Raw genomic sequence first — 20872 nt, 5'->3', positions numbered from 1 at the left:
AGACACGGTTTCACTGTGTTAGCCAGTGTGGTCTTCATCTCGTGACCTCGTGATCTGCCTGCCTCAGCCTCCCAAAGTGTTGGGATTACAGGCGTGAGCCACCGCGCCCAGCCAATTCCTTAAAAAATTTTTAAAATTTTGGCCAGGCTTGGTGGTTCACACCTGTAATCCTAGCACTTTGGGAGGCTGAGGCGGGCGGATCACATGAGGTCAGGAGTTCAAAACCACCCTGGCCAACATGGTGAAACCCCGTCTCTACTAAAAATATTTTTAAAAAGGCCAGGTGTGGTGGCTCACACCTGTAATTCCAGCACTTTGGGAGGCTGAGGCAGGCGGATCATAAGGTCAGGAGATCAAGACCATTCTGGCCAACGTGGTGAAACCCCGTCTCTACTAAAAATATGAAAATTAGCTGGGCGTGGTGGCGCGTGCTTGTAATCCCAGCTACTTGGGAGGCTGAGGCAGGAAAATTGCTTGAACCAGTGAGTCAGAGGTTGCAGTGAGCCAAGATTGCACCATTGCACTCCAGCCTGGCAACAGAGTGAGACTCCGTCTCAAAAAAAAAAAAAAAAAATTAGCCGGGCATGGTGGCAGGCACCTGTGATCCTAGCTACTTGGGAGGCAGAGGCAGGAGAATCGCTTGAACCTGGCAGGCAGAGGTTGCAGTGAGCCAAGATTGCGCCATTGCACTCCAACCTGGGCGTCAAGAGCAAAACTCCATCTCAAAAATAAATAAATAAATAAAATGTTGATATAATTTCAGACTTATAGAAAAGTAATGTACTTTACATAGTAAGAAAATTCTCTCACCTGCATTCCCCAAATATTAGCATTTTACCACATTTCCTTTTTTGACTTCTCTCTCGCATTCATAATCTTACTCTCTCCATAAAGACGGAGAATAAATAGAAATATACACATTGCCATTTTTTTGGGAAGGATTTCAGAGTAAATTTCACACATGGTGCCCCTTGACATCAAAATAAGTTAGTGTGTATTTCCTAAGAACAAAGATATTTTACATAACCACAGAACAATGATCAAAATCAGAGAACTAACATTGCTATAAAACTATTAGGTTATTATAGTCCTTATTCAAATTTTCCTAATAATATCCTTTGTATGAAAAGAATATCTTAGATCACAAGGTATATTTAGCTGTCCTCTTTCATGTTCTTTCTTTTTTTTTTTTTTTTTTTGAGACAGAGTCTTGCTCTGTCGCCCAGGCTGGAGTGCAGTGGTGCGATCTCGGCTCACTGCAAGCTCCGCCTCCTGGGTTCATGCCATTCTCCTGCCTCAGCCTCCCAAGTAGCTGGGACTAAGGGCGCCTGCCACCACTGCCACCACTCCCGGCTAATTTTTTGTATTTTTAGTAGAGGCAGGGTTTTACTGTGTTAGCCAGGATGGTCTCGATCTCCTGACCCCGTGATCTGTCTGCCTCTGCCTCCCAAAGTGCTGGGATTACAGGCGTGAGCCACCGTGCCCAGCCGTTTTTTTTTCTTTTTTCTTTTTTTTTAAAGACAGGGTCTAGCTCTGTAGCTCTGTCACCCAGGCTGGAGTGCAATGGCGAGATCTTGGCTCACTGCAACCTCCACCTCCTGGGCTCAAGTGATCCTCCCACCTCAGCCTCCTGAGTACCTGGGACTACAGGCATGCATCACCACATCTGGCTAGTTTTTGTATTTTTTGTAGAGATGATGTCTCACCACATTGCCCAGGCTGGCCTTGAACTCCTGGGCTCAAGCAATCTGCCCGCTTTGGCCTCCCAAAGTGCTGGGATTACATCTCACCTGGCCCATATTCTTTAATCTAGCATTGTTCCTCTGTCTTGCCCTTTTATGACCTTGACATATTTGAAGAGTGTAGGTCAGCTGTTTTGTCAAGTATCCTTCAACTGGGTTCATGTGATGCTTCCTTATGATTAGAATCAGGCTGTGTATTTTGGTAGAAATGCCAAAAAAGAAAGCGTGTTCTTTCTCGTGTATTGTTTCATGAGATACATGATATTGATTTGTCTCTTGATTGCGGGCATCAGCTTTGGTCAGTTAGTTATGGTGGTTCCTTCTGGGGTTATCCATTCTGAAGTTACTATTTTTCCCTTTGTAATTAATGAGAATCTAGTGAGGATATGCTTGGAGATGATTTAATAAGGAATTGAACTGTTTAAATGAGATTGTTTTGAAAAAATGGCTAATAAAAATCAATAGGGAGAAATATTTGGCAAATGAAAGTGGTGGTCATTAAGGTTTATTTTTAGCCTATACTCCCCTTCCCGGTTTTCTAGATGATCAGGAAATTCAGCAGGCCAGAACTTTAGAAAGACTGGGAAGAATTTTCTAAAATGTCACTGATCACTCATGGTGTCAAACGAGGAATGGAGGCTTTGGGAAGTGGACAAAGAAACTATTACAGAATAAGAAGGAAGATCATGTGTTACCTTGGACAGAGCCTGGGTAACAGGGTCTTAGAATGTGAAAGTTGGTATTATGATAAATTGTAACTTATTTCTAAATCTTTTATTTAAGAAAAAAAAAACACCTTTAGCTCTCATCAGTGTGTTCTGCTATAACTGAGCCTCTGGTTGGCGAGGGCTCTGGCTGGCTGGTCCTTGAAGGATGATGGCAGAGGGGCTGGTAACTGTGCAAGAGCTCACAGAAGGGAAAGTGAAGGCTCCAGGGCCAGGCTTGCTGTTTCGTGTTTCTAGTCTCCCCAGTATTTTTTAAATGTAAGGCCTGGTAATAGCATTTGATTAATTTTCCATTTTCTCTACTAAAACTGTTAAAAATTTGAAGTCCTTCCTGCCTTCCTTTCCGTCTTCTCTCCCTTATCTGAAGGAAATGAATGAGAAAGCAGATGTTTGCCCTGGGATGGCTCAGAAAGCATAGTCTCATCTTCACCTTTCACCCTTTCTCTGTTATTTGGATTTTGGAAATACAGCCTTCTGATTTTTCTTCCTTTCATGTCAAATCATCGTCAGCTTTTTCTCCTGTCCATTCTTAGAATTCCTGCCAAGACCCACTCTTCCTTTCTGGAGGTAATTATTCCTGCTTTCATCTCCAAGGCTGTATGTACAATAGGGTTGTTTCTTACAACTCCTGAGGTGAACAGAGGGCTACTGAGCCTTGAGCCTGGAGAAGCAATCAAGGTGGAGGTGCAGAAGGTGACCAGGAGGCTCTCTGTGCCTGAGGAATCTCACTGTCTAACAGGAGAAGATTCCTAAGAAGCCTGTCGATGTGGACCCTGAAAACTGAAGATCTGCCAGTGTATAAAGGTCATGGGATGTAGTTGTAGCCAAAGATAGAGCGCGAACGGGTGGAGGGGGAGAAGCAAGGACTTTCCCCTCTAGGGAGTGCGGAGCCCTGAGATCTGGGGGACCTGGCAAAGTCACCTGATCTCTCCTTGTTTTAGAGGGTAAGACTGGCTCCCCAGTGGAAGATGGAAGAATGTGAGGGAAAGCTTATGTAAGGTGCAGGATGCCAGAGGGTCTAGGTTAGAGTGAGACACTTAATGCTGTTTTTAGGTGGTTCCACCTGGGAGAAATGGGGAAGAGAGCAGGTAAGGATGATCTGAGGATGTGAGCTTGGGCCTTGGATAGGCGCTGATTCTCCAAGTGGGAGAGAATAAGATGAAGGGCAGGAATGGGTAAGAAGGGAGGGTGAAAATGATGTTATCATCAAAACCACACATACCTCCCTCATTCCCCACTTTTGTAAATGAATATAGCAGTGAATCTGTACCACTGACCCTTGCACCCAATTACATTTATGTATTACTTATGTATCTCATGTTATTCCAAAAAGATTGGACAGCCTCGTTTGGCTGATTACTTAGTATTTGCTTACTATTCATCCCTAAAATTGGAAACATCTTGGGGCAGGGATCATGTCTTACATTACTTTTGTCCAGAATCTATCCCATTCGTCAGTGGCTCAGTTAGTTCCATGCTTCCTTGGGCGCCATCTTGTCGGAGCCCCGTGGGTTCCTTGGCAGACTCTGTGCGGCTCTTGATATTGTCACCATTTTTGGCCTCCACAAACACCCTTTTCAGTGATTGGTGAGAACTTTCCAGAAAAACCGACTCAACTGGTTGGTGCAGTGACCAGAGGCATCATTAGAAGAGGAAAGCTGCCACCTTAAGAAAATAGTGCCTGGGCACAGACAGCATCCCTTCTTCTTCTTCTTTTTTTTTTTTTCCCCTGTCAAAGAGTCTACTCTGGGGGTTCGCTACTTTTCACCTTGGCTAGAAACTTGACAGGAAATGACTGCAAGAGCAAAAATAGATGATCCAATCAAAATAAATGTGGATTACATGTTTAAACTGGTGTCAACAATAAATGGAAGAAGAGTTTGCTCATGGGTAGTCGTACTCCATGAGGGTATTAACGTTAGCATGGGATTACGATGTTGCTTCTTACAGTCTTAGATTTTGGTATGTTTTGGTATGTTTTGTCTTCTGAAAGGCGTTCCATGTGTCTTGCAATCTTCCAGATAGAAGGGGACACACTTATAAAATCGTTCTCATCTTCCTGCTCAGGATTAGACAGAGTGCACTTCTCCATTGCGTAAAGTGCACGTTTCCAGAGTTCTGCTCTGCGAGTGATGCTGTTAGTGCAGTTTTTTCTTCTAAATTTTGTGTAACCACTCAGAGTAATCACATAATATGCCACACTGACATTATTGACACCTGGTGGAGTAGAATTAATGCTGAGCTTCTTCCCAGCAGAGTCACAGATGACAGCTTCCTCAGCTTCCTGTGGGGTTGAGGATGCCGCCTGGACAGTCTCATGCTGGCTTAGTGAGACTTGACACTGGACCCACCACATCATCTTCTGTTCAGCCCATGGTGGGAAACATTCATGCCAATGAGGTGCACTCTTAATTACTTTCTACACAGTTCCCTCTCCAAATTAAGAAAAGCAATACAGGCAAGATAATGACTGTTCATATTTTGCAGAACTTCCAGAGAGATGATAATTTAGGGAATCTGGATATTTCCTGCTTATCCCATTGTTTCCAGGTCATTCTCTGGCTTCAGTTAAGGTGGAACTGCAGGTCGGTGGGTTTGTGCCTGTGTGGATGGTGAATGGGTGGGGTTGTTGTGGGGTTGGTTCATGTCACTTCTGTACACTGAAGATGTTCAAAGAGGTGCCATGGCTTTGAAGAACCTCTGGGATAGTGAAAGGGGCTTGTAAATGTCCTTGGACATTCTACTTAGACCCAGCACCCATCTCATTTCCTTTTCCATCTCCTCAACTCTTGTATTTCTTTTTCTTTCTTACTCAGTGAAGACTGGGGGCTTTCAGATCAGATCTGGTTGCAGAAGCTTTTATAAGTCACATAGGAGTTTAGATCCCAGCTTTTCTGAGCTTAGTGACCTTGGTCAAGTTATATAACCTGAGGATTTCTTACCTTTTCAGGTAATCTAATGAAAGAAATGATCCCTCACCCCAGAAGAATGCTCATGAATGCACATGCACAAAAAAATGTCTACATGTTTGTTTCAGGGGCTCCCAATTGCACCCTTCTTGAGCCTCAATTCTTTTACCTATAAAAGGGGACGCAAATGCACCCTCAGGGGGTCTACCTCATTAATCTTTGTTTGACAGTTAAGTGAGGGAATGTACATAAAGTGTCATTATACTTAGTGTGGAGCCTGGCACATAGTGGGTGCAACCTTCTTTCTGACCCTCCCTCTCTGGCTACTGCTCTCACTCTCCCTCTCTGTGTATCTGCCAAAGGAGAAAAGTTAGTGTTATTTCATTTTAGGATCATTTGTTAGGACAGAGCCCTGCCAGATTTTCATTTCATCTGTCCACAGTGATTTCTTTGTTCCTTTTTTTCCTCCTTCCAATTTGGGCATCTCACGACCGCATCACATTATCTTTCTGGGCTGCAGCCTCAGTACACCCGCTTCCTTTGTGTGGGAGGAGTATGTTGAGCTCAGAGAAGCCCCGGGTCTCCCTTTCCCACTTAGGGCTGTCCCGGTGGCATGTGGAATCTTCAGCATGGCGTTTCCTCCATTGTGTAGGGCAAGGGGAGCCCTACTCCAGAGTTCATGCCTCAAAGGAGCATGAGTGGCGTAACCATGACCTCAGCCTGCAGGGCACACAGCCCCACAGAGGGCTTCTCTGTGGATACAGAAGCCTTGGTCAGCAGCAGAATTGGGAAGAGCCAGTCCTGATGGTGGAAGCCCTCATTTGTGATGAGTTTGGAGGTGACCCTGACCACCTCCAACCCACAGCCTTCCTCTTTGGCCAGTCACAGGTAGTGGAGGTACCCTCCATCTCAGTAGCAAAAACTCGCCTTCTCTTTCTGTTGCCTATACCTGTCCCTATAGCCTATGACAGCATACTCCTTGTCAGTGTGCCCTTGGGTTGGCACATTGGGTGGGGACAAGATCCAAGTTCATTCTGGGAGCTCACCAGAGAGCGAGCCAAGCACTACTGTTAACAAGGGCTGTCACAGCCCAAATGCCTGATATGGCCCAGCACAGGGCCGCCATGAAGGTGAAGACAGATCCATGGCACTCAGAGCCCAACTCGGGGCTGAACGGGCTTGTGTGTATATTGAGGGTTCTGCTGGGCTAGTGGATGGCACCTTGGAGGGATCTCAGCCACAAGCCCTTTTCCCATTGGTCTCTTCCCTTTCTGACCTTACCTGGTTCTCAACTGAGTCCTCAGTCTTGTGCCCTGCCTGGGCACATGGAAGTCATCCATAAATACTTGTTGGTGAGACTCTTTCAAGTCACAGGTTCATCTTAAGAAAGTGAAAGCCTCTCTCTCAGGTTCCTAAGTTAATGTTTCATCTTCTGTTTAAAATAATTCATTAGGGTGGTTCAGCCGGCTGTCACTATCCTGACAGTAGGCAGGAATGCAAAATCCACTTTTTAAAATAGCCTCATTGGTAGAGGAATATTGGCCTCACCTAACACCCATTTGGGCTATCCTGGCTGGAAATGCACTGGCCCACATCTTTATTTGCATCCTCCAGGATTACAGGACAGTCTCATTTTTCAGGTGGCATCATCACGGCTCATAAATTGAACAACACTTCCATTAGATTGCGCTAGGCATCATCTTCAAAACTCTAACATCTGGATGTTTCCAAATAGCCTGCTATGTAGATGATTGATGGCTTTCATTCTTGGTTGGATTCTGATATAGGCCATAGCTGTTGGGATTGGAATTGGTGGTCCTGATGTGCCAGTATGTGATCAACTGATCGATAACATGGGTGGCCATGCAGTGAGGCCCAAGAGTGTGGGCCACCTGAGAGGTCAACTGCTGCTCTGTCCATGGTATTTGGTGCTTCATTCACAAGTTTAGAGAAAGATTTCAAAGCTTTACTTGTGTGTCTATCGATACATGACAGTCTGTTGCCAAGATACAATGCTTAAACTGTTTGGGTGGCCCGGGAATACTTTCACATCTTCCTAAGAAGGGGGATGAACGCCCCCTCAAGACTTCCTACAAAGACAAGAGAGCACGACGCTCTGAGTTGCTACTGAATGATTGATGTGGTCTTGTTTGTACATGTGCTTCTATGTTTTCTAATGTGTATTTAATGAAGCTTCCCATGTGCCAGGTATCTTCAAAGCCCTAGAGACATGGTGGTCAATGTGGGTGGCCAGGCCCCAGCTCTTGTGCAGCTTACATCAAGAAGGGTTTATGAGGAGTAAATCAAAAGAAAAAAATATAAGGGTCAGGTAAAGAATTAAAATCAAACATAAGATGGGTGACTAGGGGTTGTTGAGGTACCTGTTGTAGAGGGATAGTCAGGGAAGGAAATTTTTTTTTTTCGAGATGGAGTCTTGCTCTTTCGCCCAGGCCGGACTGCAAGTGGCACTGTCTCGGCTCACTGCAAGCTCTGCCTCCCGGGTTCACGCCATTCTCCTGCCTCAGCCTCCCAAGTAGCTGGGACTACAGGCACCCACCACCACGCCCAGCTAATTTTTTTGTATTTTTAGTAGAGACGGGGTTTCACCATGTTAGCCAGGATGGTCTCGATCTCGTGACCTCATGATCCACCCACCTCGGCCTCCCAAAGTGCAGAAGGAAGGAACTTTTTTAAAAAAATGAACCTTCTGTGTTCCTGAGTTGGATAATTTCAAACATATCCACAAGTAGAGCATGAACCAGCAGACCCCATGAACCCATCATCTGTGTTCCTGAGTTGGATAATTTCAAACATATCCACAAGTAGAGTATGAACCAGCAGACCCCATGAACCCATCATCCATCCTCGGCAGATACCCACTCACAGCCAGTCCTGTTTCATCTATACACTACCCCTCACTCCCTGCTTCCGTTTACTCAATTATTTTCAAACAAATCTTGGTTATATCATTTCATCCCTATTTCTTTCTCTCTCTCTCTCTCTGTCTGTCTCTGTCTCTGTCTCTCTCTCTCTCTGTCTCTGTCACCCAAGTTGGAGTGCAGTAGCGCGATCATAGCTCTTTACAGCCTTGATCTTCCAGGCTCAAGCCATCCTCCTGCCTCAGTCTCCTGAGTAGCTGGGACTACAGGCACGCACCATCATGCCTGGCTAAATTTTTTTTTTTTTTTTTTTTTTTTTTTAGTAGAGATGAGATTTTGCCGTGTTGTCCAAGTTGGTCTTGAATTCCTGAGCTCAAGCAATCCTCCCACTCCGACCTCCCAAAGCACTGGGATTACAGGTGTGAGCCACCATGCCTGACCTGTATCTCTCTTTTTTTATTAACAAGACTGCAATATCAGACCCCTAAAAATTATAAATTCATGGAATCATCAAATATTGAGTTCATATTAAAAATTCCCTAATACATGGATTATTTTTATTTATTTTAATTTTCATTTTTGTAGAGGCAGGTTCTTGCTTTGTTGCCCAGGCTGGTCTCAAACTCCTGGGCTCAAGCGATCCTCCACCTTGGCCTCCCAAAGTGCTGGAATTACAGGTGTGAGCTGTCATACCCAGCCTAATACATGTGTTTTTTGATAGTTGCTTTGTTTAAATCCAGATGCCAACATGGTGTTCACATTACATGAATTGATATGTCTCTAAAGTCTCTTTACCTGTATGTTCCTCTTCTAACTTTTTTTTTTCCTTCCTTGCAATTTTGGTTGAAGAAACTGAATCATGTATCTTGTAGGATCCCTGCAGTCGGGATTTGGATGTTTTGATGATTATAGCCCCACAGCATTGTTGAACATGTTCTTCTGTACCCCTGTGTTTTCTGTGAACTGATAGTTAAATCTAGACACTTGATCTCATTTAGGAGCAGTTTTACTTTTTCTCCATGGCTGCTTCATGTGTGTTAGTCAGTGTATCTGATCAGGAGATACATGTCTCACTGATTGTTTTGTGATGTTATTAGCCATTGATGATCATTGCCCAAATCTCCTATTTATTTGGAGCTGGCAAAATGATGATATTCTCATTCTATTATTTCTTCACTTATTAGCTGGGCTACTCCTTATCAAGGGAAAGCTTTCCTCATTAAATATTTGTTTACCCTGAATACTGCAAAGGCAGGTTAAATGCTAAATCTTTAAGGTGGTAACATTTAGGCTGTGACCTGACTTGACCTTGAAGAAGGCAGGGAACACAGCAGGCTTAGGGCCTGGTTGGTGCAAAGGCCCTGGGGCAGAAGGTAGGCCAGTGCAATTGGTGTCCTAGGGAGGGCTGAGGTGGGTGGCATCTACCACCAGACCCACCTTTGTAAGCAGGGTCCTAAGTTTGGGGTTTCAGTGCTATGGGAAACCCTTGGAGGTATTCAGCAGTGGCCTAACATGATTGATTTCCCTTGAAGTTGCATGGTATACAGTGTGTCACACAGTTCCTCCCCACAGAGCATATGGTCTCAGGGAGCAGAGGACACCGACAATGAAACAGAAAATTCCAGTTCTATCTATTCTTTTTATTTTGAGATGGAGTCCTGCTCTGTTGCCCAGGCTAGAGTGCAGTGGCATGATCTTGACTCATTGCAGCCTCTGCCTCCCGGGTTCAAGCAATTCTCGTGCCTCAGCCTCCCTAGTAGTTGGGATTACAAGCTCATGCCACCACACCCGGCTAATTTTTGTATTTTTAGTAGAGGTGGGATTTCACCTTGTTGGCCAGACTGGTCTTGAACTCCTGACCTTAAGTGACCCGCCCGCCTCTGCCTCCCAAAGTGCTGGGATTACAGGCATGAGCCACCATGCCCAGCGGGTTCTATCTATTCTTGTGCAAATTTTACAAAATATGTGGACCTTCAGGTTAGGCTTTCTGGTTCTGGCATCTTTTGCATGTTGGTAATTCCACATTTTCAGATAGAATTTTTCTCTGATGTATTTTTCCATTCCTGGACTCTGGTTTTCCAGGAGGCGTTTGGGGCTTCCTTGGGGGTATTAGGGTGTTCTCTTGCTCTGGTAAAAGCTTGAAATTACCCAGGTATCAGGATTCACTGGTGTAATGAAATGTGCACGTGGATGGGGAAACAGTCTCTTTTTCCAGACTCTGAGGAGTAACCCGCCTCCCAGGGAGGGCTTGTCCTTGTGTCTGGGACTGCACCCAAAACAGGATGGCCGGCCAGCTTCTGAGTGGCTTCTCCATCCTGGGGGTTGGGTTCACATTGCATTATTACTAATGTGAGAATTTCCACCCGATGCTTAGTGGGAAGATCTCATACCCTTTTATCTTTGTTAATATTCTTGATATAGCGATTTAAATATGCAAAACGAGGACATGCCATATGGCAATGTGTGACAAGACAGCCCAGTGGCTGTAGGGGACAGTTGGTACCAAGCACTTCCAGAAGGGTGATGTCAACACAGCACAGGGGACACAGGTGTCTGCCAGGTGGATGGCGGGTTAGGGAGTCATTTGCATGGGAGAGGGAAGGTGCGTGAGAAAAGCATCTGCTGACCCGTTGCTGTTGGCCAGGTAAGAGAAGATGAAGAAAAGTGGTGGCAAGTGGTGTCTGTAACTTGGGAAAACCCTGGGAGGCTGTAAAGTCACCGTTGTGCACACAAAAAATAAATGCATTATTTTTAACTGTCAGACCAGGGATGAATTTTTGAGAGCTGTCAGAGGAACAGCCAGGCTTGCGCAAAGATCGAGAAAGGACAGACGACTGAGCATTTAGCCAACCCCTTCCCTGAGGTGTTGTGTTCTGTGAGGGCGGTCCATAGGGTGGCAGCTCCAAAGGGGACCTAAAAGTTTGTAAATTTTGGCTGGGCGTGGTAGCTGACACCTGTAATCCCAGCACTTTAGGAAGCTGAGACGGGTGGATCACTTAAGGTCAGGAGTTCAAGACCAGCCTGACCAACATGGTGAAACCCTATCTCTACTAAAAATAGAAAATTAGCCAGGCGTGGTGGTGCATGCCTGTAGTCCCAGCTCCTCGGGAGGCTGAGGCAGGAGAATCACTTGAACCCAGGAGGGAGAGGTTGCAGTGAGCTGAGATCGTGCCACTGCATTCCAGCCTGGGCAACAGAGTGAGTGAGACTCTGTCTCAAAAAGTAAAAAGTTTGTAAATTTGGAAGGTGGTTTGGAGGGACACACGTTTGATATTTGTTAAACGCTGAAAGGAAAGAGGGGGGAAAGCGGGCAGGCTTTTAAGAATTGTTGACTTTGTGGATTTGGAGCTTCCTGGGGGAAAACAGAGCCGTTCCACCGAGGCCTGATGGAACAGGAAGCGGGTGTCTGCGGCACCATCCCAGAACCAGCTCTGCAGGGGGACCAGCTGGAGGGGGCTCTGTGTTTTCCTCCCTGCTCTAAACAGAAAGCCGTTTTTCTAGATGGGAATCTGGATCTGTTAAAATATAATCGGTAACGAGACCAGGATTATTTATTTAAGTATGTGGAACGCTGAGGGAGTGTTGTACTTCCCAGCTGGGCTAGGAGCTGCAAACGTCCACCATGTCGAGGGGCACGGAAATAAGAACTCGCCACCCCTTCGGAGATGCCTGCATAGTGTCCTTACAAGCTTCTCTTCTCCTTGTTTTCATTGTTATTTATCTTCCATTTCTGTAAACTAGCCTGTCTTACGGCCTGGGGGCTTCTATCAGTGATACCTTGGAGCGGAGTCCTGTTTCTGTAAACTCTTCTGATCTCAGAAATATGAACACGGAGTGGCCCAATTGTGTTCTTAAGGCCATTACCAGAAGTGACCACAACCCAGCTGTTCATTTCCTCTAACCCATGTCCTGCCGCATTCTCCCCTCACTGGGCAACTCCTTGTAGACTAAAGGATGGTCTCAGTAAAGCTCGTTTCTGCGCTGAATTTTCCTTGTACTCCAGTGGGGCCAATGAGTTTTAGCCTGTGGTTTCTTCTGTTCTAATTTATATGAAGTTAAAGCTATATTTCAAATCCCTAAACGTCTTTATTTCCCTCTATGGGAGACAGAAAAAAGTGGGGCCTTATAAGTGGACTTCCACATGTCCAAGTTGGGAATCTCTTCCAGACTTCCAGAGACTTTAAACATGGCTGTAAAAGAGGAGTTGGGAGAAGAAGGCTGAGGTGGGATTTTGTCTCTTGCCCCCTTGCGGCCTCTCTGGGACGATAGCGGTTGTCATAGAAATCCAGACCCACAGGCAACCCTTTGCCCCATTTCCACCCACAAAGAATGGAATCCAGAGAACTTTCTCGCCTTTTGGACATGAAGAGAATGGCTGAGTTGGTGACAGGGGAAAAGAAAGAGGATTGGCCCAACAGTTTGTTTATGTGGGCTGCCTGTTTCTGGAGAGCGTCATCTTTTCGGTAGAAATGCCCTTCTGTGGATTGCTTTAAAAAAAGAAAAAACAAAGATGAAAGTTCTCATTGCTTTTTGGAAACATCAAGCTGTGACCTGGTTGGAGGAGTCCAATCAACGTGGGGAGGGCTTTCAGAGGCACAGAAGCCAGAGGGCAGAGGGTGTGGAGGGAGCCTGGGAATACCCCGTGCTGGCCAGTCCGGCCTGGCTGTCAGCTTGAGGAACTCAGGATCTGATTGTGAGAAGCAGACAGAAAGCGAAGTTGAGCTGGGCACAGCTTTCTAGATGAGCTGTCTGAAGCTGCCGTGTTTGGTTTGGCCTGAAGCTGAGCAGGAGACCCGGCCGGCTTTCCAGAAGGGAGGCCAGCCCTGACCCGCTGCAGGGCCTGGGGCTCTGCCCTCTGTGTCGCCCAGGTTGCGGCAGCTCGTGCGTAAATGGGGCAGCCAGGTCCACATCTCTTCCTCCCTCTGCACAAATTGAAAACGACTAACCTTGCCATATTTAGTGCAGCACTCACGGCTGCTCGCCTCCAAGGGGTAATCATGCAGGCATAAATTCGGAAAGTTGCTAAGCTATGAGCAGTCTTATGAGCATTAAAAGTGTCCTCTTTGCCAGAAAGGTCATTCATAACTTGGCTACCCTGCTGATGTACAGCCAGTGATATTGATTGATTAATGTATAAAAGCACCAGATCCATTTGCTTCTATGAAAGAGAATAAAGTGCAGTCGACTCTCTCTTTATTTTCACCTCATCCTTTTGTTTGAAGGACATTTTCCCCCCTCTTTTTGTTTTGCCGGCTATGTTTAAGGGGGTTACAAAAAGCCAGTTTCTGCCAAGTAATGTGTTCACAAAGGGAACATTGATTCACATCAGTGTCGCTTGAATTACCCTTAAAGGTTTGCCAAGGAGTTGCTCTTATATTAACCTTCTGTTCGTGAAGGAAGAAATAAATAAATAAGTCATAAAGTCAGCCTCGTTGCTTTGGATTTCATTTTGGGCTTGATCTAAAATAATTTCTTCCACGGCTGCTTGTGGTGAGAGGTGTTGACCAGAAAGGCCCTTGTTAGTTTTTAGGGTATGGGATGGGGGCACCAAGGGAAGCAAGCCCACCCCTGCCGTCAGAGCCCCCCGCCGCACCAGATCAGGGAAGAGAACACTGAATTTACTTCCAGCACAGAGATTAGTTCTGATTGGCTGCCCCGCCTTTCAGGCTGAGGAGCAGCGGGCCCTGGTCCTTGCTCTCTTACTCCGGTAGTTCACACTGTCAGGTGTTGGAAACGGCAAGAAAACCCTGCCTTTGTCTGAAAGATGAAGGATTTTGGTGGGGAAGGCAACTTTGCTTTTTAGAACCAGTGGCATGAATTATACAACCTTCAGAGTTATCCTTAAATTTCCCATTTCTTTGCAAACCTAGCAGGGCTGCAGCCTGAAGTTGGGAAAAAATAACTCCTCAGCTTTTGTTAACTTGGAATTAAGTTTGTTTTGTTAGTGTTTTGTTTTGTTTTGTTTTTGTCAATTACAGAGACAGGATCTTGCTCTGTCACCCAGGCTGGAGTGCAGTGGCACGATCGCGGTTCACTACAGCCTCATACTCCTAGGCTCAAGCTATCCTCCCATCTCAGCCTTCATAGTAGCTGGGACTACAGACATGTGCCACCATACCTGGCTAATACTTTTATTTTTTGTAGAGATGAAGTCTCGCTATGTTGCACAGGCTGGGCAAACTCCTGGGCTCAAGTGATCCTCCTGCCTCAGCCTCCCAAAGGGCTGGGATTATAGGCATGAGCCACCACACTCAGCTTAGTCTTTATTTTTTATTTTTCTGTTATCTCTGTAGGTGGAGGAACTTCCTGTCCTTGTGAAACCCAAATGGGGCTGGTCCTCTATGAAAACTAACAAATACTGATTACCTTGTGATTTGGTTAGCCTTGGGTATTATACAGAATACAGCATCTTGCCAACCAATTAGCTCTGTTGTTTAGGTTTTCTTTCAGTGACTTGATCAGAAATGCCTAGGAAGATAGTCCAGTGCTAGGCAATGTATGAGGCCATTGGTCAGTATCAACTGGCTGCCCATCTTGGATTCTTTATCATTTGACATGGGTCTTTTCAGAGCTGGAAGAATTCCAAGCAGGTGGGAAGGCAGGGGAATGTGGAATTGTGGAAACATAAGGCTGCATTTAGCTCCTGTGGAGGTGTGATCTGAAGCATCACCTGCGGGTGTCAGTGTGGAGTTCTCCTTACTGGCTGCCCTACTGGCAGAATGGCCTTGCTTTTTGAGGTCTGTGTACTTTTGGTGGGTGCTGTGGAGTGAAAACTGATCAATCTTCCTGTCTGTATTTATAAGCCAGGCCCCACTCACTTGACACAATCCATTTCACCAAGGGTGGAGATGGCCCAGGCTGTTCCTGCAACATGGTTTAGTAGAAGGTGGCCACCTTCTGTCTTCAAAGCTGATGTGTATAGGGAAGAACTAATTTCACTTCATTTTGCAGCTCTTGAGCATTGAGGTTGATGATTGCTGGGAGCCACAGAGGAGTTTTCCATGTGCTAGGAAGATTAGACATTGAAGTCTCCCCTAGGAATCTAAGCCCTTGGACCTACACGTACCTCTGTCTGCCCTGGGCAGCTGTCTCCAGGTGGTGTAAAAGCAGCAGGTGAAAAAGTAGATTGCTTTCTTCTCCTCCCAGAGGTGGTTTGGGATTTTGAAGGCATCTAAGCTCCTGCGTATCCCTCTTAGTTAAAAGAGGCACAGAGTAAGCTAGCTGCACCTGGCCTGTGCTTTGATAGAGACGCAGCTCTTCACTTGGGAACACCGGAAGCCTCGTGAGCCCCCCAGGTCTTGCATGACACTTTGAATAATCTCTTCTGTTCAGCCATGAGTAGTACGATGTTACTGATGGCTTGTGGTCTGACCACGTGCGTGCTCATTGTCAGTCTCATTGGCTTTTCCTTTGTTCTAGAACATGGCAGGGGAGCTGCAGACAGACAGGTACAGCGCCTAGCTTTACAGTTACATGCACGCTGTGTCATCAGTTTCTTTCCCCCCTTCATAGCAGCCAGAGCTCTAAACACTCATTGCTAAACTAACCCCAAGGCGCTGGTGAAGTGTTGGACTATACAGGGAGCCAAACTAACTTTTATGTAATTGTTTAATTAAAACCTTGGTTTTCTAATTGCAGTCTAAACACAAGCGCCTTTTGTTAATGAAAGGCAACCTCTGTGCTTGGTGTTCTCATACACGGCCTTTCTTTTCCACTGTTTTCAACTAGAAAATCGACATTTAAGTTCCCACCACGGGGAAGGTGGCAGTTGGCGTTTCTTGCCATTGGGGGAGATGTTCCACAATCCCTTTTGTCAGTCCTTGTCAACAACTTATCTAGGCTGCAGTTGCCTTTCTGATTTCCTATTGCAATGAGTCAAATTTGTAAGCTTCTTCACGTGCTGGAATAATTGGAAAGCCAGAGAAGGACCCCTGCGTTTCTCTGGCGCGAGCATTATTTTCCATATTCCTGGTGCAGGGTATTGAAATAGATATATTTTAATGTTTGCTTTTTAAAGGGGAAGGTTTCTCTCGATTTCCAGATGAATCTTGGAACCTTTCTTTCACTCCTCCCTCTGCTGAGGTGATAAGAGCTGGCTCAGAGGATATACTGAGAATGAATCCGTTTTCGTTCCTCTGTCTCTGCAGAATGAATTAGAATTTGCCTGATTTAATAAAATGGCTTCATCTGCCTGCCATCTTTTCCATCTCCAGAGTATTTCTTCCTTAGTGGCCTGCCCTTCTATAATGGGTCTCAGCTCCATATCTCCTTATTACAGGCTGGTGGTTTCATATGTAATGCATTCACTCATGCTCTCACACACACACTGTTTCACACGCGTGCACGCGCTCCAGCGTTGGGGGATCCTGATGGCTGAAGGTGTGGAAATTTGTCACCAGATCTCATTTTCCCCATTGTCAGGCATGATGGTTATAATTGATGAGGTTGGTGCAATTTGCCATCCATCTGCCATTAACCCCAGCCTTGTGGAGTTGACGTGACCACAATGTAGAATATATTTTGGGAGAAGAGGGAGAGGTTGAAGATGGGGAATTGCAGCATAAATCTTCTCAATCTGCCCCAGCCCTCTCTCTGTTTAATTGGAACGTATTTATCTCTGCGTACAGTAGAGTATTTTGCTATCTCCCCATTGCCCTCAGATGGACTGATAGGAGTTTGTTGTTTGAATTTGGAATGTTTTTTCCATTTGACACCCCCCCCCCACCCACCAATTTGTGTTTTAATTTCTATTTCCTAGGTTGATTTTTTTTTTCTTTCCATTTTGACACTAATTATGCCAGCCGCATTGGGAGTGCGCACTGCTGGGAGGTACCCAGCTAAGTGTTAAGAAGGGTTTTAAAAACAGGCTGAACTCCCTCTTAATGAGGCTCAATCGGGCTCTCCTCCGGGTGGTTTTGTTTTGCTGATCTGTCAGTTTTTCAAGGATTTAATTGCACTTTTTTCATATTAGTCTTTGAAATTGGCCTATCCAATCTTGCTATAAAATACATTTTTTAAAAAAGCAAAAAGTTTGTGGTTTGTCCCTCCCCCCTTATTGTTTGGGAATTTTTACTTTTTGCTCTCATTTGTCCAGGACCATCTTCTGCCAGTCGTTCTTGGGACCCAGAAATAGTGAAGAGCCAGAATGGGAGTGGCAGGAGGGGCCTTGGAGAGCCCGGATTTGTAGGCCTCAGAGGGAGTTTCCCCATTCTTTAAGCCTTCCCTCTTTAGGGCTTTAGTAATGCAGCTTGGCTTATATCTCCTCTTCCAGATTTGCTCTTGATCAAGGGCAGGGAGAGACTCGCACACAACCGCCATTTCTTTCGGTATAGAAGTGACAGATTCCATAAAGTGGTGCCAGGCCGGCTAACCACTGTCTCGAATCCTCAAACATGGGAGGCAAAGAAAAGGAAAAGTCCAAAAGCTAGAAGGCAAAAGTTAGCAGGCAGGGGAGGGAGAGAAGCAAGGCCATATCCTTTATGCTAGTATCTTTATGGCATAGAAAACATGCTTAGAGCAATCAGCATGAAATTCTTAATTGCTTCGCTTACTTCTGCTCTCCTCATGGGACAGATTGTGCAAATGCTGGAGCTGCCAGGACCCTCATGTTAGCACACTGTCCCTGCTGCATACACTATTTTTAACTAGTGCTTTGTTTTGCAAAGATGCACAAAGCTTTTTCTTTTCTTTTCTTTTCTTTTTTTTTTTTCCTTCTCAAGGATGCTAATAAACAGCGGAGGCCATAAAGAGCTATTCCAGCCACCTTGACAGCAGCTACACTTTATTAGTCTGTGCACCTAGCTCTCTCCTCCTGCCGCTCAGCCTTCTGCTTCCTCTCTTTGGATTTCTTCATTCTCTCCCTTTCAGCATGAGTTTTGGCTTTTAAAAAAAAAATTCTGTGACCAAACCAACTTCCTTTTCTTCCTTCCCCGCCCTCCTGAATCTGATTTGCATCCTTCTACTGCCCTCTCTTCCAATGCCTACCTTCCTCTTTTGAGATTTCCAGTCTCCTCTCATGAGAATGTAAAATCCAAGAACCAGATCTCAGAGATTTCAAAATAAAATAAAAGTAAACTCTGCTTAAAAAACACTTTAGCAGGAAAGCCAGGCTAATTGTAAATCAATGGGTCTTAAAATGCAGCATCGATCTCCAGTTAGAAGTTTGAAGGGGAAAGCAGTAATTACTGCACCAGAAGGTAGTTTTTCCTCTTAGTAAGTTCTGGGCAGAAAGAAGGCTCATTAGGGCAGCACTTCAGAATCTGAGTAATTAGTTTAAAAAGTACTTTTGTGGTGTTATTCCCTTGGCTAGAAATTATTGGAGTCTTCACAGATTTATAGCTCAATTCTGATAAGATTTGATTTCTTATTGTGTTTGGTGGTAGAAGAACCTTGATCATAATCACCCAGGTGAAGATTCAGGGAAGCCTGGATCAGACAGTCTTTTTAGAGTGGGTGGGGTTTAATTCTTTAACAATTCCTGCTATTCATAGTATTGAAGGTGTCCAACTTAGAGCCTTAGCATGGTGGCCCTGTTAGACCACCCAGGGTCAACCTTGTCATCCCTCAGGTGAGCAAACAGAGTCAAAGAGGTGATTTTCTTGTCCAAGTACATGTTGACGTGATGGTTCAATGAGAAAGCTCTGGACATAACACAGCCATCTTATGTTACCTAAAGTGGATCTACTGGAGGGTAAGTTCCATGAGGGCAGGCTTGTGACTCACTTGTCCAGTTGGATCCAGAATGGCTGAAACCTAGGAGGCATGAACGGATAGTTTAACTAATGACTTAGTGAGCAAATAAAGGAATAGAGGACTCTTCTGTTCCAAAGAGAAAGCTTCTAAGCTCTTTTCTTTGGAGGAGAAAACTACCATGGGGAGCGTTCTGTCTGGTTAGGTTATCAACTGCCACTCTTGAGCATTCAACATTACAGAGAACAGAAGTAGCCCCTCTCCCTCTTTTTTTAAAAAAAGGAAACTTTTTATAAAAGGAACTTGGTTTTGCTTCTATGAGGAGTCATCAAGAGATCTTTCTCTTCCCTCATTTTTTACTTAAAAGAAAATATACAACTTAAGCAATACTTTTAAATCATCCATTGTTGCACAGCTGTCTCCATTTTGGGACATTATCTTTTTTGTGCCTGTGTAGTAGTAATAGCCAGTCAAATGTATGTGAGAGTGTTTTGTCCACTTAAGAGATGTGAAGTTCTTAAATTCTTCCTGGAAAGTTTCAGTTATCTGTGCTGTTTCTCAAGGGAGGCTCTCTGAGGAGTGCGCTCCACTTTTAATCTAGAAATAGACATCAGATAGAGCGGTGGTTTGTAAAATTTTATTAGCGGAGCCCTCTTTTAGAAAAAAAATGCAAACGAATTTGGACCTAGTATATAAACAATGTTTCAAAAGGCTTGAAAACTATAGTTATTTTAGGAGTTCAGATTTTTAACATTTACTTATTAAGTTAAAAAATTAGAACAAAACAGAGTTGATCAACAGATCAAAATTAAGAATTGTGGAAGGTAGTTAAATAGTATCAACTAAGCTTCTGTTTTGTTTCTATATTTTGTTTTAGACAATTTCTGTATAATCCTCTTTCATACAGAAGTAGTTCCAAACAGGACTGGTTTTAATAGCCTGCCTTGCAATCCCAGAAGAGTCTTCCATTAAGTGAAAATGGCAGAAGTTTTATGCTAAAGTCTACGCAAAAGCTGTTTAACTTGGCCACGTAACTAGTTCACCTGGCCGCCAGTGTGTTAAATTTTGGCATATATCACATTTGAGCATGCCTTATTATTACAGCATTTTAAATGAAATTGAGGCCAGGTGCGGTGGCTCACACCTGTAATCTCAGCACTTTGGGAGGCTGGGGTGGGCAGATCACTTGGGGTCAGGAGTTTGAGACCAGCCTGGCCAACATGGTGAAACCCCGTCTCTATTAAAAATACAAAAATTAGCCGTGGTGGTAGGGGCCTGTAATCCCAGCTACTCGGGAGGCTGAGGCAGGAGAATCTCTTGAACCCGGGAGGCGGAGGTTGCAGTGAGCAGAGCTTGCACCACTGCAGTCCAGCCTGGGCGACAGAGTGAGACTCCATCTTAAAAAAAAAAAAGTGAAATTGGAATCAAAATGTGCAGAACCCTTGTGGTATTTGGGAGCTCCCCAGAGAGGAATTTAGACACCATTATATTAATACTGTAGGAACTCTAGTCAGAAGTACACTGGGACTTTTGCCGTTGCAAGAACCCAAGAGTACTCTCTCTGGAAGACTCGCCGTGGTGTTGAGTGGCTGATGAAGAGCCCCTTGTCGGGGTATCTCCCTGTCACCCACATTGGGTGACCTTTGCATAGAATGTGCAATCCTGTTTCATGTAAAGTCACTTCGTGGATTGCAGAGGTCTTGGCCTCCCCTTGGAGGCCTCTTGTCCCTCTTCTTCCTGGTATCTGTTGGTCCCCACCCTGAGAGTGTAACATCTGGCTGGGGCATCTCTCTCTGGTCCCTGCCCTGTCTGCTCAGGACTCTCCTCTCCTCCGTACTGTGAACATGGAAGTGATGACGTTCCATGTGGAAAAAAATGGCACTTTCTATTTATAAGTGAAAGGAAATATTTCTGCTGTTTATCCTAGA

General features: G+C 45.0%; 1 protein-coding gene across 10 annotated transcripts in view; it reads left to right on the top strand.

Annotated features, from left to right (window-relative positions):
* ZFHX3 (zinc finger homeobox 3) overlaps positions 1-20872 on the top strand; it is a 1109046-nt gene that overhangs the window by 1020014 nt on the left and 68160 nt on the right. The gene's annotated exons all lie outside the window — the stretch shown is intronic.

This window comes from Homo sapiens, chromosome 16 (assembly GCF_000001405.40).
Source record: "Homo sapiens chromosome 16, GRCh38.p14 Primary Assembly".
NCBI classification, from domain to species: Eukaryota; Metazoa; Chordata; class Mammalia; order Primates; family Hominidae; genus Homo; species Homo sapiens.
This window is presented reverse-complemented; position numbering and strand designations above follow the sequence as displayed.